Source organism: Homo sapiens, chromosome 11, assembly GCF_000001405.40.
Source record: "Homo sapiens chromosome 11, GRCh38.p14 Primary Assembly".
NCBI classification, from domain to species: domain Eukaryota; kingdom Metazoa; phylum Chordata; class Mammalia; order Primates; family Hominidae; genus Homo; species Homo sapiens.
This window is the reverse complement of record NC_000011.10, coordinates 83,106,031-83,120,223: the sequence shown is the minus strand read 5'-3', so window position 1 is coordinate 83,120,223 and position 14,193 is coordinate 83,106,031. Positions and strand designations below refer to the sequence as shown.

At 39.6% G+C, this 14,193-nt stretch overlaps 1 long non-coding RNA gene and 2 pseudogenes across 1 annotated transcript; all 3 read left to right on the top strand.

The window, feature by feature from the left end:
* The first annotated feature begins 2,959 nt into the window (after positions 1–2,959).
* LOC124902725 (uncharacterized) lies at positions 2,960–8,702 on the top strand. Its single transcript, XR_007062802.1, has 2 exons — positions 2,960–3,099; positions 8,524–8,702. It is a non-coding gene; the product is annotated as an uncharacterized LOC124902725 (long non-coding RNA).
* On the top strand, positions 8,723–9,189 carry C1DP5 (C1D nuclear receptor corepressor pseudogene 5; annotated as a pseudogene).
* On the top strand, positions 13,243–13,736 carry COX5BP4 (cytochrome c oxidase subunit 5B pseudogene 4; annotated as a pseudogene).

Below are 14,193 nucleotides of genomic sequence, written 5' to 3'. Positions count from 1 at the left end.
TGTCCCCTTCTACCCTGAAATGTCAGTGGCCTGGCATCTGACATAAGTGTGGCTGTTAGGTCATGAGACCTTTGCAGCCCATCTGATGGGAAACCTGGCACCTTACCTTACAGGACTATATATACTTTCTTAGGGCAAGACTGTTACAGGGCCAGAGACTAAAGGACTCACTACGGTTAAAAGTGTCACAATTTATAAAGGGCTATAACCCACGTTATTTCTCTTAGTACTCAGAAAAATCCTGGGACTCATTTTCAGATGGGGAATCCAAATCTCAGAGATGATATGTGATTGGTTCAAGTACACATTGCCTGAAAGTGTCAGGGTCAGAACTGGGGGCCTAGATTCTTCTAATCCTAAATCTCATGCTGTCCCCACATCACAGGTGCTTGTCTTCTAGGCAATTCCTTGTAAACATAGCAATAAAACACTGCTTCTGGCGACTGTCTGGGAACTCTGGTGGATAAGAGAAATTATTGTCAAGGGATTTGGCCTCTCTTTCTGTTCTTTCTCTGATAATAGAAACTATCATTGGCTGAGTGTGGTAGCTCATGCCATAATCCCACCACTTTGGGAGGCCAAGACAGGAGGATTGCTTGAGGCTAGGAGTTTCAGACCAGCCTGAGACCTTGTTTCTTTAAAAATAAAAATAAAAAAGCGGAAAAAAAGATTATTTACTGAGGACATTCTGTGTACTATGCATCATTGTGATAAGTACTTAACAGTAACCATCTAATCTTACAATCGTGTGTGTGAGTGTGTATGTGTGTGTGTGTGTAGTTGTATATGTGTATGACTTGCTCAGCCTCACCTACGAGTAATTGACTGGGCCAGAATTCTAGCATTCTAGCCTAGGATTGTCTGACCCTAAAGCCACTATTACAGACTTTCATTTTCTCCCTTCTAGACTAATGTTTCTCTCTTTGAAATACACAAACATGCTTTCATGTTTAAATTTTTACATTTCTTTCCTATATGTTTTCTTCTGTTGCAGACATAAAACAGTTCAAAACTATGATCCCTAAGAGGACTCTCAAATTTATTTTACAAAATAAAATCCAAACTTAAGGATTCTTTTGGGGATCATAGTTTTGTACTCTTCTATGTCTGTGGCCAAGAAAATCATTTGCAAATGTGTTTTTAGGGTCATGTTTATATTCCTGTTGTAGGTCAAGATATGTTTGTTTAAACTAAGGTCTCCAAAGCTTAACCATTGATTTATTCAGACTTTAAACATGTTTCTTTCTAAAGCAACATGAGACCTGCTCATCCACAGGAATGTTACAGTCTTTCTAGTGCCCAACTTTAATAGTCTACCACAGTTTCTCAATTTTTTTGAACTTTGGATATAATTTTCAGGGTTGACATCTCAAGGAAGGCTCAGGTTTTTGTTTACATCCTCTCATCTTCCAATGAAGACCTTCTGTGGATTTTCCTGAAGCTTTAAGGTGAGGAATGAAGTAGCAATGAAGATAGGGCGATGGGAGCAGAAATGAGTGTGGGTGCAGCTCCTGACTGGGAACATCCAGACCAGAGCTCCTGGGTGCTCACCCCTCCATTTATTTGATTAACAAGTACTTACTGAACAACTGCAGTGCCTACATACTAGCTGTACAGGAACTCTGACCATTTCCTCCTAACAGATAAGGACAGACAGACAAGTTAACAGGCTGTTTTCAGTTTCTTCTTCCTACACAAAATGCTTACAAAGAATAGAGGGTCAGTACTCCTGATCTGCAGGTTGGAGACTGTTGAATTTCTTTTTAAGCTCACCTATGGGTTTTTACTATTTGCTTGGTGATGTACTAAATATTTTTATATTTTTTGTTTGTTCATTTGTTTGTTTGTTTTGTTTTTCTTTTTGTTTTTGAGATGGAGTCTTGCTCTGTCACCCAGACTGGAGTGCAGTGGCACAATCTTGGCTCACTGCAATCTCCGCCTCCCATGTTCAAGTGATTCTCCTGCCTCAGCCTCCCAAGTAGCTGGGACTACAGGTGCGTGCCACCATGCCCAGCTAATTTTTGTATCTTTAGTAGAGACCAGGTTTCGCTATGTTGGCCAGGCTGGTCTCAATCCCCTGACCTCAAGCGATCCACTCGTCTTGGCCTCCCAAAGTGCTGGGATTATAGGCATGAGCCACCGCACCCTGCTGTACTGAATATTTTTATATTCATCATCCAAGATTCTGTTTCTTTCCCTGTAAAATAGAAGTAGCTACCTCATGGGTTTATATTAATGAGATGATGATAATAATAGCTACAATTAGTTGACAGGAACCTTGTGTCAGGCATCGCAGTAGGCATGCCAATTACTTCATTTAATCCTTATGAAAATCATGAGGTGAGCACCCTTGTTAGCCACATTTTGCAGACGAGCACACTGAGGGTCAGACAGATTAAGAAAATTGCCCAAGCCCATAAGGAAAGTAAGTGACAAGTTTGGACTCTAATCTAGGTTGGTCAGAGGTTGAAGTCATGTACTGAACTACTGAGCCATGGTGACTTCATAAGAAAAGTATAAAAGTTTCGAATGCACTGTTTGGCAATGGCTGCTGTCTGTTGTTTATCTGAAACCCATTTTGCAACACTATAGATAAATGGGCTTTAAAATAAAAATTAAACTTTTTCTCTGTTAAACAACATGGATAGGTCCATTCTTGACCAAACAAACAGAAAAACAAGGCCATCTTTAGGGGCTTAGAAACCGAAAGTGAATACATTTCCACTTCATGTTTCCTCTTTGCTTTCAATAATTCTTTTTTTTTTTTTTTTTTTGAGACAGAATCTCGCTGTCACCCAGGCTGGAGTGCAGTGGCGTGATCTCGGCTCACTGCAACCTCCGACTCCCGGGTTCAAGTGATTCTCCTGCCTCAGCCTTCTGAGTAGCTGGGATTACAGTCGTGTGCCACCACGCCCAGCTAGTTTTTGTATTTTTAGTAGAGACGGGGTTTTGCCATGTTGGCCAGGCTGGTGCTTTCATTAATTCTTGTTTATTTTTTATTATTTTTTTTTTCTGGTTAAAAATAGGTCTTGGTGACCTTTGGAAGTGACCTTGAAGGGGAAAAATTCGCTGAAGGGCTACGTATAGCCTGAACTGAAGGTGAGTAGGGCAGAGAGTGGGAAGATAATGAATATTTATTTATTTATGTATTTATTTTAAAATTCTGGCCTTTATCCAGATGAAGAATTAATATTTATTAAGCTCCTCTACATGCTTGTCATCTTAAGTATGTTATTCACTCATTTTGTTCAACAAGATTTATTGTTGCTGGAGGCTGGATGTGGTGGCTGATGTCTGTAAATCCAGCACTTTGGGAGACCAAGGTGGGAGGATCATTTGAGACCAGGACTTGAGACCAGCCAGGGCAAAAGAGTGAGACCCTATCTGTACCAAAAAAAAATTTTTTTTGAGACAGAGTCTCGCTCTGTTGCCCAGGCTGGAAGTGCAGTGGCATGATCTCTACTCACTGCAACCTCCGCCCCCGGTTCAAGCGATTCTCCTGCCTCAGCCTCCCAAGTGGCTGGGACTACAGGGGCGTGCCACCACACCTGGCTATTTTTTTGTACTTTTAGTAGTGGGATTTCACTATGTTGGCCAGACTGGTCCCAAACCCCTGACCTCAGGTGATCCACCCACCTTGGCCTCCCAAAGTGCCGGGATTATAGACATGAGCCACCATGCCCAGCCAAGAAATTTTTTAAAAAGTAATCGAGCATGGTGACACATGCCTGTAGTTACAGCTACTTGGGAGGCTGAGGTGGGGGGATGGCTTGAACCCAGGAGTTTGAGGCTACAGTAAGCCATGATTGTGCTACTATATCCCAGCCTGGGCAACAGAGCAAGACCCTATCTCTCAAAAAAAAAAAAAAAAAAAAAAGTTTATTGTCCCTGGAACTGTGCTGATGATGGCCTACCAAATTTTCACAAGAATATTGCAAAATGAGGACACAAAGCCTTTAAGAAATTAAGTAATTTGCCTAAGGTCATGTGACTGGTTGTTGACAGAAGCTAGTTTTAAACTCAGGTTAATCTGCTTTCTATCTGTGCTATTTCCATTACACCTTTCTGCTTTGTCCAAGTGATCCTAGGAAAGGAATTCGCCAGATTCTAAGTTGCTAAGCCCAAAGATTGAGTCTAAATTGATATACTCACCTCCCCACTGTTCTTCCATTGGCTGACTCATGCTTTCAGAGAAGCTGGGAAATTAGGGGAGACCAATAAAAGAGTGCCTTTCTTGCAGATTCAGGAAACTAAATGTTGCTTTAAGCACTGTTCTAGAAAATTCCCAGTAACTTTAGAGTGTCCTTTAAGAGCTCTTAATGCTCTGGAAAGTCTCTCAATACCGGTTTTCCAGAGGCTGGACGCTTTGCCGTTGAGTGTAGTGTTTGCAGCACATCGCAGAGGCAGGTCACTAGAGCTAGTGGGAACACATACATCACTGACATGTGATGGGAATCCTCCAGGGGGCAAACAGGCGGGGGCCAGCTTCTGCTCTGAGCAGTCTAAATGGAGCTAGAAACAAGAGCCATCTAGTAAAACATTTCACAGGATAAAGTGCAGAGTCTGTTTCACACTTAGCCCTGTCAGTTCTGTGGAGAGGCAAGTGTTTGTAGAAAGTTTTGAATTCTTCTCTCATGCCCTGGAAAACCAAACACCATCAAAGAAAACAGCCTGCTCCTGAATTCTGCGGCTGTAGTTTTTACACTCACCATCCTGTTTTTTCTTTCTTAAATTGCTTCGTGTGATGAGGACACAAATCAAAATAGTCTACCTTTTAGAAAAGATGGCAGATCGTGGCATTTACATCTCATAAGTATCTGATTGCTTAAAGAAAATCATCTAACTGTTCAAGTCAATAAACTTTTACTGAACACTTGTCGTGCGCTAGTCATTGTGATAGTGGCGATGATGAAGTGATGTATGGTTCTTCTTTTCAAGAAGCTTTCAGTCTAGTGGTGAAAGAGCACAGACATGAATGATACTTGGAATACAATGGGATCTCTTTTACAGCTGAGATACTTTCCAGGCAGGCTGCAGGGAGTTGGTGCCAGATAGTCCTGGATTCATAATCCCTATTGCTTCTAACAATAAAAGGATCTCAACCAGATACTCAATCTCATCCATCATCAATTTGCCTCTCTGTTAGAGATAAACAATGCCACCTCATAGGACTGTTTTGAGATGCAATAGACATCAGAATTGATATATGAGATTTACCAGACTCATATCATCAAGGTGATCTGCCATAACTTGCTTAACCATTGCTCTGTGCCTGATGAAAAAACTTTGCCAGAGTAGTCTCTCTACCACTCTGAATCCCTTGTCCCTTGCTCACCTCCTCAATGGCAACCACTCCCCTTAACCCCTGTATATCACTCCAGAGATATTTTAATATTTAATATATATGTATATATTTTTTAAAATTTTATAAAAATTATACTACATACACTGCTCTGCACTTCACTTTTAAACTTTATTTCAGAGATCTTTCCGTATCAGTACACGCACATCACTTTTTTTTTTTTTTGAGACAGTTTCCGTCTGATGCCCAGGCTGGAGTGCAGTGGCGTGATCTCGGCTCACTGCAATCTCCGTCATTTGGACTCAAGTGAGTCTTGTGCCTCAGACTCCTGAGTAGCTGGGATCACAGGTGTGCATCACCACATCCAGCTAATTTTTGTATTTTTAGTAGAGACAGGGTTTCACCATATTGCCCAGGCTGTTCTTGGAACTCCTGGCTTCAAGTGATCTGCCTGCCTCGGCCTCCCAAAGTGCTGGGATTACAGATGTGAACCAGTGCACCCAGCCTGCATTATTCTTTTTAATGGCTCCGTAGGATTACATTTTATGGATACACTGCAGTTTACATAACCATTACCCTGTTGATAGACATTTTGGCTATTTCCCATCTTTTGGGATGCTTATGTTATGATACTGCAATGAATATTCTTTGTATATATCTTTGCATGTGTATTTCTGTAGGATAAATTAAAAATGTTGGGTCAAACTTTTGGTCATTCTTGATAAATATTAAGAAATTATTCTCTAGGCCAAACGTGGTGGCTCATGCCTATAATCCCAGCACTTTGGGAGGCTGAAGCGAGGGCAGATGGCTTGAGGCCAGGGGTTTGAGACCAGTCTGGCCAACATGGCAAAACCTTGTCTCTACTAAAAATACAAAAATTAGCCAGGCGTGGTGGTATACACATGTGATTCCAGCTATTCGGGAGGCTGAAGCACAAGAATTGCTTGAAACTGGGAGGCAGAGGTTGCCGTGAGGTGAGATCAGGCCATTGCACTATAGCCTGGGTGACAGAGTGAGACCCTGTCTCAAAAAAAAAAAAAAAAAAATCTGTTATCTAAAATGATGGTTCCAATTTGTCCTCCTATAAACTTTGAGAATGTTTCCCCACATCCTGGCCAAAATAATTTATGGTCAAACTTGTTGATGTTTGCCAAACTGATGAAAGCTAATATCTTAGTTTTAATTTGCACATCCCTTATTTTAAGTGAACATCTTTTTCATGTGTTTTAAAGTCAGTTATAGACTGGGCACGGTGGCACACGCCTGTAATCCCAGCACTTTGGGAAAGCAAGGTGGGTGGATCACCTAAGGTCAGGAGTTCAAAACCAGCCTGGCCAACATGGTGAAACCCCGTCTCTACTAAAAAATATAAAAATTAGCCAGGCGTGGTGGCACACACCTGTAATCCCAGCTGCTTGGGAAGCTGAGGCACGAGAATCTCTTAAACCCAGGAGGTGGAGGCTGCAGCGAGCCAATATTGTGCCACTGCACTCCAGCCTGGGTGACAGTGCAAGACTTCGTCTCAAATAAAATAAAAAGTTAGTTATAGATCTTTTGTTCAGAAAGTTTGCTATAACCTAATCCAATCACAGAAAACGTCAGAAGCTGATAGAATGGGGTGGTAAACATGGAACATGCTGTTTGACTATGGAGATGCAAGATGAAGGAGACAAGATCCCTGCAATATAAAGATTGGTCATTAAAATTATTTAGGCAAGAAATGTTGACTCATAATCAGAACTGTGTTTTGAGAAGCTCTGGACAGTGTGGAAGATGGAATGGAAGTGGCAAGACTAGAGGGAGTGAAAAAAATTAGTTAAAAGGTCGTTGCAATCCTGAACTGAGAATTCAGGAAAGAATGAAAATTATGAAACCAATTGGAAAAGCATTGCAGAAGCCAAATCAAAAGAACTTGATGACACAATAAATGTCGGGTAAGGAGAGAGAGAAATTACTTAGGCAAATGAATGGCTTAAAAAGAAAGGGAATACATGGTAGGGAATTTGCTCTCTGACATTACTAAACACCTACTAAGTAAGGGTTTATGTTAGTTATATATACATTTATGTATATGGAAATCAAATGAGTGAAAATAAACACATTGCATTTATCCAATTTCACAGCATCTTTATTAGGGAAATATTATAATCTATTTAAGTATGAAAAAATTAGAAAAGTAACATGTGCAAGATAAAAAAAACTATTAGATTTCTCCAAAACATTCATATCAGAATGCAAAGTCAGACATCTCTGATAGGATAACCAATGATTTTTATTTTATTTTATTTTATTTTATTTTAGAGGCAGGGTCTCACTATGTTGCCCAGGCTGGTCTTGAATTCCTGGGCTCAAGTGATCCTCTCACCTCAGCCTCCTAAAGTGCTGAGATAATAGGTATGAGCCACCACACCTGGCCACCAATGCTGTTTATACTAGTTCAAATTACCTAGATTTAAAGAAAACATTCAGGGAGAAAAATTATCTTACATCATGCAGGATGCAAAATGCCCACAACACTTGCACCAGGAATTATTCCCCGAGCTATCAGATCATCAGTTTAATTTAAACATGGCAATTCTCAGAGGAACCCATTATAACTCACAGCTGTCTCTAATTCTGAATTGACCAGGGTTACCCCCTTTATAGAAAAATCACTCTTCTCCCCTTGTCATTTTTCTGCAACTCATTTGGGAAAACACATCAAATTGTATTAAGACTTTTGATACTGTAAATTTAGTCCTATTCAAATGCTGCATTAAAATGCCTTATCAAGAAGATAATATCTTCATTAAATATATTGATGGTTAACTAGGATGAGGATTTTGAACACATGATTAACATAACTATTAATACTTTGGAAGAGTAGTGGACTGTTGCCCATTTTAAAAAAAGGTTGATTATTTGGAAATGGATATTATAATCGTGTCTGTTGTCTGTAAAAGCAGACTTTGTATCATCGCTTATCTTGGATAAATCAAATATTTCTATTTCACTTGTAACATTTATCAACATTTATCAACTTCCTTCCATATGTGTTATTAGTTTTATTCCCAGGCTTTTCAGTCGACAAATACTTTTGTAATGGTAATCAGCTAGTATTTGCTGAGCCTAGCAAGGTAATTGATTACATAGTTGTTTAGTATATTGTTTCCAAAGCTAGTCATACACTTGATATAATAAATTCCTAAAAAGACAGGGTTTTTTTTTTTTTTTTTTAGGTTGAGCCTGGTGGCTAATGCCTGTAATCCTAGCACTTTGGGAAGCTGAGATGGGAAGACTGCTTGAGCCCAGGAGTTCTGTGCTGCAGAAGGCCATGATCCCACCACTGCACTTCAGTAGGAACAGAGCGAGAACTTGTCTCTAATAATAAAAAAAAAAAGTACACATTAAACCAAAATGAAAGTATGAATTGATACCATCATTGCTTGGCCACTTTCTGGCAGACTGGATTTGAAGGCTGTGAGTCAGTCATTAAGGCACATGAAGAAATTAATGAAGACCATCCAGTGGAAATTCATGAATATTTGTCAATGCTTGAGAATTACACTGGTGCTGTGGATAATATGCTAAAGACCATGATGTCTGTTTCTTGAAATGAGTTGTTGCAGAAGTTGGACCCACTTAAACAAGTGAAAGTGGATTTAGTTTCTATGTACACATTAAATTTAAAGTTTTGAGTTTATTTGGCAACTCAAGGAGTTAATACTAAGAAACAGCTAGTAAAGCAGGAAGGAATTGGAAAGAATCAGAATATATATGAACACAGTCAAGGAAATAACAGAAAAAGGCTGGCAAGCTGGACAGAGGTACATCTTCAACATTTGTAAAAAATGACCTCTGGGAACTGAAACCTAAAAATGCATCATAAAACTGTAGGGACTAAACTCTCCGGTTACTTAATAAGCTAGTAAAAGCTGGGTAAAGTGGATCATACCTGTAATCCTAGCATTTTGGGAGGCTGTGATCCCAGCACTTTGGGATTGCTTGAGCCTAGGAGTTTGAGACCATCCTGGTTAACATGATGAGACTCTGTCTCTACAAAAATTAGCTGGGCGTGGTGGTGCACGCCTGTAATTCCAGCTATTTGGGAGGCTGAGGCACAACAGTTGCTTGAACCTGGAGGTTGCAGTGAGTGGAGACTGTGCCACTACACTCTAGCCTGGGTAACAGGGTGAGACCCTGTCTCAAAAAACAAAAAAAAAGTTGTCAGTAGAGGCCTAGCACAGTGCCTCATGCGTGTAATCCCAGCCTTTGGGAGGCTGAGGCAGGAGAATCACTTGAACCCAGGAGTTCAAGACTGGCCTGGACAACATAAGGAGACCCTGTCTCTACAAAAAATGGAGAAAATTAGCCAGACATGATGGCACGTGCCTGTAGTCCCAGCTGCTGGAGAGGCTGAGGCAGGAGGATCAGTTGAGCCTTGGAAATCAAGGCTGCAGTGAGCTTTGATGGTGCCATTGCACTCCAGCCTGGGAAACAGAGTGAGACCCTGTCTCAAAAGACAAAACAAAAAACAAGAAACAAACAAAAAGCTGTCAATAAACAAAAAAGTAAACATTTAGTTTTTGGTTTTGATGTATACATATTCAAAAAGTATGTCATTTTTTCACAAAATAAATAATTATGTGGCAGTGCAAGGTTTAAATGTCTACTGTATTGAATTCATATGTAGATTTGCCATTTAAATTTTTGTTTGTTTGTTTTTGAGACAGGGTCTTGCTCTGTCACCCAGACTGGAGTGCAGTGGCATGAGCATGGCTCACTGCAACCTCGACCTCCTTGGTTTAATTAATCCTCCTATCTCAGCCTCCCAGATAGCTTGGGCTAAAGGCACATGCCACCATGCCCAGCTAATTTTTGTATTTATGTATTTAATTTTTTTGTAGAGATGCGGGTTTCACCATATATTGCCCAGGCTGATCTCCAACTCCTGGGCTCAAGCGATCCGCCTGCGTTGCCCTCCCAAAGTGCTAGGATTACAGGCATGAGCCACTGGTCCCAGTTACTTGAGAGGCTGAAGTGGAAGGATCTCTTGACCCCAGGAGGTTTAAGGCTGCATTCAGCCATGTTTGTGCCACTGCACTTCAGTCTGGGCAACAGAGTCAGATTCTGTCTCAAAAAAGAAAAAACAAAACAAAAGCAAAAACAAAAACAAACCAAAACAAACAAACAAAAAACCCAAAATTAACTCACAGAAATGTTAATAAGCAACATTCAAGCCAACAATGACCAGTTTGGAAACATAATGAAGAAAATAACTTTATCAACAATACCAACAAAAAAGATAAATGTCTGGAAATAAATTGATAAGAAGTGCACAAGATCTATATTAAAGTATTAAGTGACACAAACAATTTAAACCATTAGAAAGGTTGCTAAGCCTGAGCCACATTGCCCAGCCAGGAAAGAGACTTTCCAAAAGAGTTGTCCATTTCTATGAGCTTCTCCAGAGAAGGGAGTGAATCTTCATTACTTCCCCAGAGAAGGGAGTGGATCTTCATTATCCATGTTTTCTAGGGTCCCTCACAGTACCTGACAAAGAGCAGGGTTTGTGGAGTGAATTGAATAAATTGAATGGCTGACATGGGAGGTAGTGAGTTCTCTACCACTGGAAGTAGCCAGGAAATTGTAGTGAAACTGAGAATGCATCGGGTTAGAGACTCTTGATTATATTTACGGTCTCTTCTAATAAACTATGATTCTTATATTCTAAGATTTCCAAGAATTTTCCAAATCTTTAGAATAATATGATTAACCTTTCTCTGCCACATATTTGACCTCCAAAATATATCTCCCATCTCCCTACTTCTCTCTACCTCTACTGCCACTCTCTTAGCTCAAGATACCATCTTTTGTTACTGGACACCTAAATGATTTTCTTGATTCCACCTTTGCAGCCAGTGTAATCTTTTGATGTTGTAATCAGATTAGATTTAAGCAGGAGGGCTCTCCTGCTTAAAATCTCTTAATAGAAATCAGTGAAATAAAAAACAGGCAGGAAGAAGTAAATTACATGTTGTTTAAAAATTATATAAATTGCTTACCTGAGAAAAACAAGAGAATCAACTGAAAAACTATTACAAACAAGAAGAGAATTTAGTTCAGTGGTTGGATTACAGAATTAACTCACAGAATGACTGGTCTCAGTGGCTCATGCCTGTAATCCCAGCACTTTGGGAGGCCAAGGCAGGAGGATTGCTTAAGCCCAGGAATTTGAGACTAGCCTGGGCAATATAGAGAGACCTCATCTTTATAAAAATTAAAACAAAAAAATTTGCTAGGCATGGTGGTGCACGCCTGTGGTCCCATCTACTTGGGAGGCTGAAGTGTGAGGATCTCTTAAGCTCAGGAGGTTAAGGCTACATTCAGCCATGTTTGTACCACTATACTTCAGTCTGGGCAATAGAGTGAGATCCTGTCTCAAAAAAAAAAAAAAAAAAGAAAAAGCAAAAACAAAATAAACCAAAACAAACAAAAAACCCAAAATTAACTCACAGAAAGGTTAATAAGCAACATTCAAGCAAACGATGACCAGTTTGGAAACATAATGAAGAAAATAGCTTTATTAACAGTACCAACAAAAAAGATAAATGTCTAGAAATAAATTGATATATGCACAAGATCTATATTAAAGTATTAAGTGACACAAACAATTTGAACCACTAGAAAGGTAGCCCTTGGACAGGTGCAGTGGCTCACTTTGGGAGGCCGAGACGGGCAGATCACCTGAGGTCCAGAGTTCGAGACCAGCTTGCCCAACATAGCAAAACTGTCTCTACTAAAAATGCAAAAATTAGCCGGACGTGGTAGTGCATGCCTATAGTCCCAGCTACTCAGGAGGCTGAGGCAGGAGAATCACTTGAACCTGGGAGGCAGAGGTTGCAGTGAGCTGAGATTGTAACACTGCACTCCGGCCTGGGTAACAGAGTGAGACTCTGCCAAAAAAGAAAAGAAAAGAAAAGAAACAGAGAAAAAGATAGGAAGGCTCAACTTTTTTTTTTCTGAGGCAGGGTCTCACTTTGTCACCCAGGCTGGAGTGCAGTGGCACAATCTCAGTTCACTGCAGCCTTGACCTCCTGCCTCAGCCTCCCAAAGTGCTAGGATTACAGGTGTGAGTCACTGCACCTATCCGGAAAGCTCAACTTTATAAATAGAATCTATAACTTAAGCTCTCCTAATAAAAATCTAAATAGAATTTTGTCTTGGAATTAGATAAGCTGATTCCCAAATTTATATGAAAAATTAAATAAGAATAGAAATATATATTCCAAAAATAAATAAGAAGATCTACCAAATATTAAAACATTTTAAAGTTACAATAACTAAAAGAGTTCAGTGATCCAAAAAAAAACCCACAAAAGTGAAATCAAATACACATAGGAATTTAATCTATTATAAAGGTCTCATTTCAAATTATTGAGGAAAGATGGTTTATTTAATAACTGTTACATAAAAATCAGGATATCCATCTGGGAAAAAAATTAGCTTAGAGCCACACTGCATACTCAATGCTCAAAATAAACTCCAGATAAATAAATTATTTAATCATTATTTTTAAAGTACTTATAGAAAAGAGGAGACATTTTAGAATGTCAGAGTGAGGAAGAGGAAGAAATAAGCTGGCATTATTTACAAATGATATAGTTACATACATAGAAAATCCAAAAGAATCTACAGATAAATTATTAGAATTAAAAAGTGAATTTAAGAAGGTTGCTGGATAAAGGACCAGTATGCAAATCAGATATATTTCTACATACCAACAATAAACAGTTAGAAAACTTTTTTAAAAACATACAATTTCCACAGCATCTGAAGTTTCAAATAGGAATAAGTTCACACAAAGAAAAAGTACACAACCTGTACATAGAAAACTATAAATCTTACTGAGAGAAATTAAGGAAGAACTCAAGTTGTCTCTGAAGCCTGTTCCCAGAAGTGCTGCTGCTTGTCGTGAGCATATGGCTTTGAGGTTATGCCACAGAGTTGGAGTGCTGCCCTTGCAGACTCTGAGGGCCCATGGTTCCAGTGGGTGGCCTTGATGTGCTCCATGGCATCTGAAGGTGGTGTTCCTACTGATGGTGATGTGTCTGGACTGGAGATGTAGGTCATAATGGCTGCATGAAAGGGACTGGACCCATAGAATACACTACTCCAAAAGGAAGCTTCTGGCACCAAAGAAGACCCTAATTTAGTCTCCTCCATCACCAACAAGTGAATAGTGGGCTGCATCTGTGAAGAGTACAACAGTGCTGTCCTCTAGTTTTTGGCTGCACAAAGGTGAGACCCAGCAATGCCCTAACTGTGAAATCCATTACTATCTGGTGCCCCGCCAGTTGACCCACTGAGACTCTGCACTAAATTGCTCAAAATGCGCTGTAAAGTTTCTTCTTTCCAGTAAAGACTAGACATTGAATTGGCTCCTTCTCCCCCAACCCACCTGAAAAAAAAGAAGAACAACTAAATTAAGGAGAGGCTGTACCATATTCATGGATTGGAAGACCCAGTTACACTAAAGATACTGCTTCATCTCAGATTATCTACAGATTCAATGCAATTCCAATCCAAATTCCAAGAGGACTTGGTTTATAAGACTCCATAAGGTGATTCTCAAATTTATAGAAACATGGAAAGGACCCAGAATGGAAAATAAACTTTTGAAAAGGAGCAAGGTAGGAGTAATTGTCCCATTGAATATCAAGACTTATAAAGCTATAGCAATTAAGTCAGTATGGTAATGTTGCAAGGATAGAAAATACTAAGCCCAGAAATGAACTTCCATAAGGACATCTAATTTATGACAAAAATGACACTTCAGAACAGTAGGAAAAAGTTTTTCAATAAATGATGCTGGGTTATTAGATATCCAAGTGCTAAAAATGAAAAGA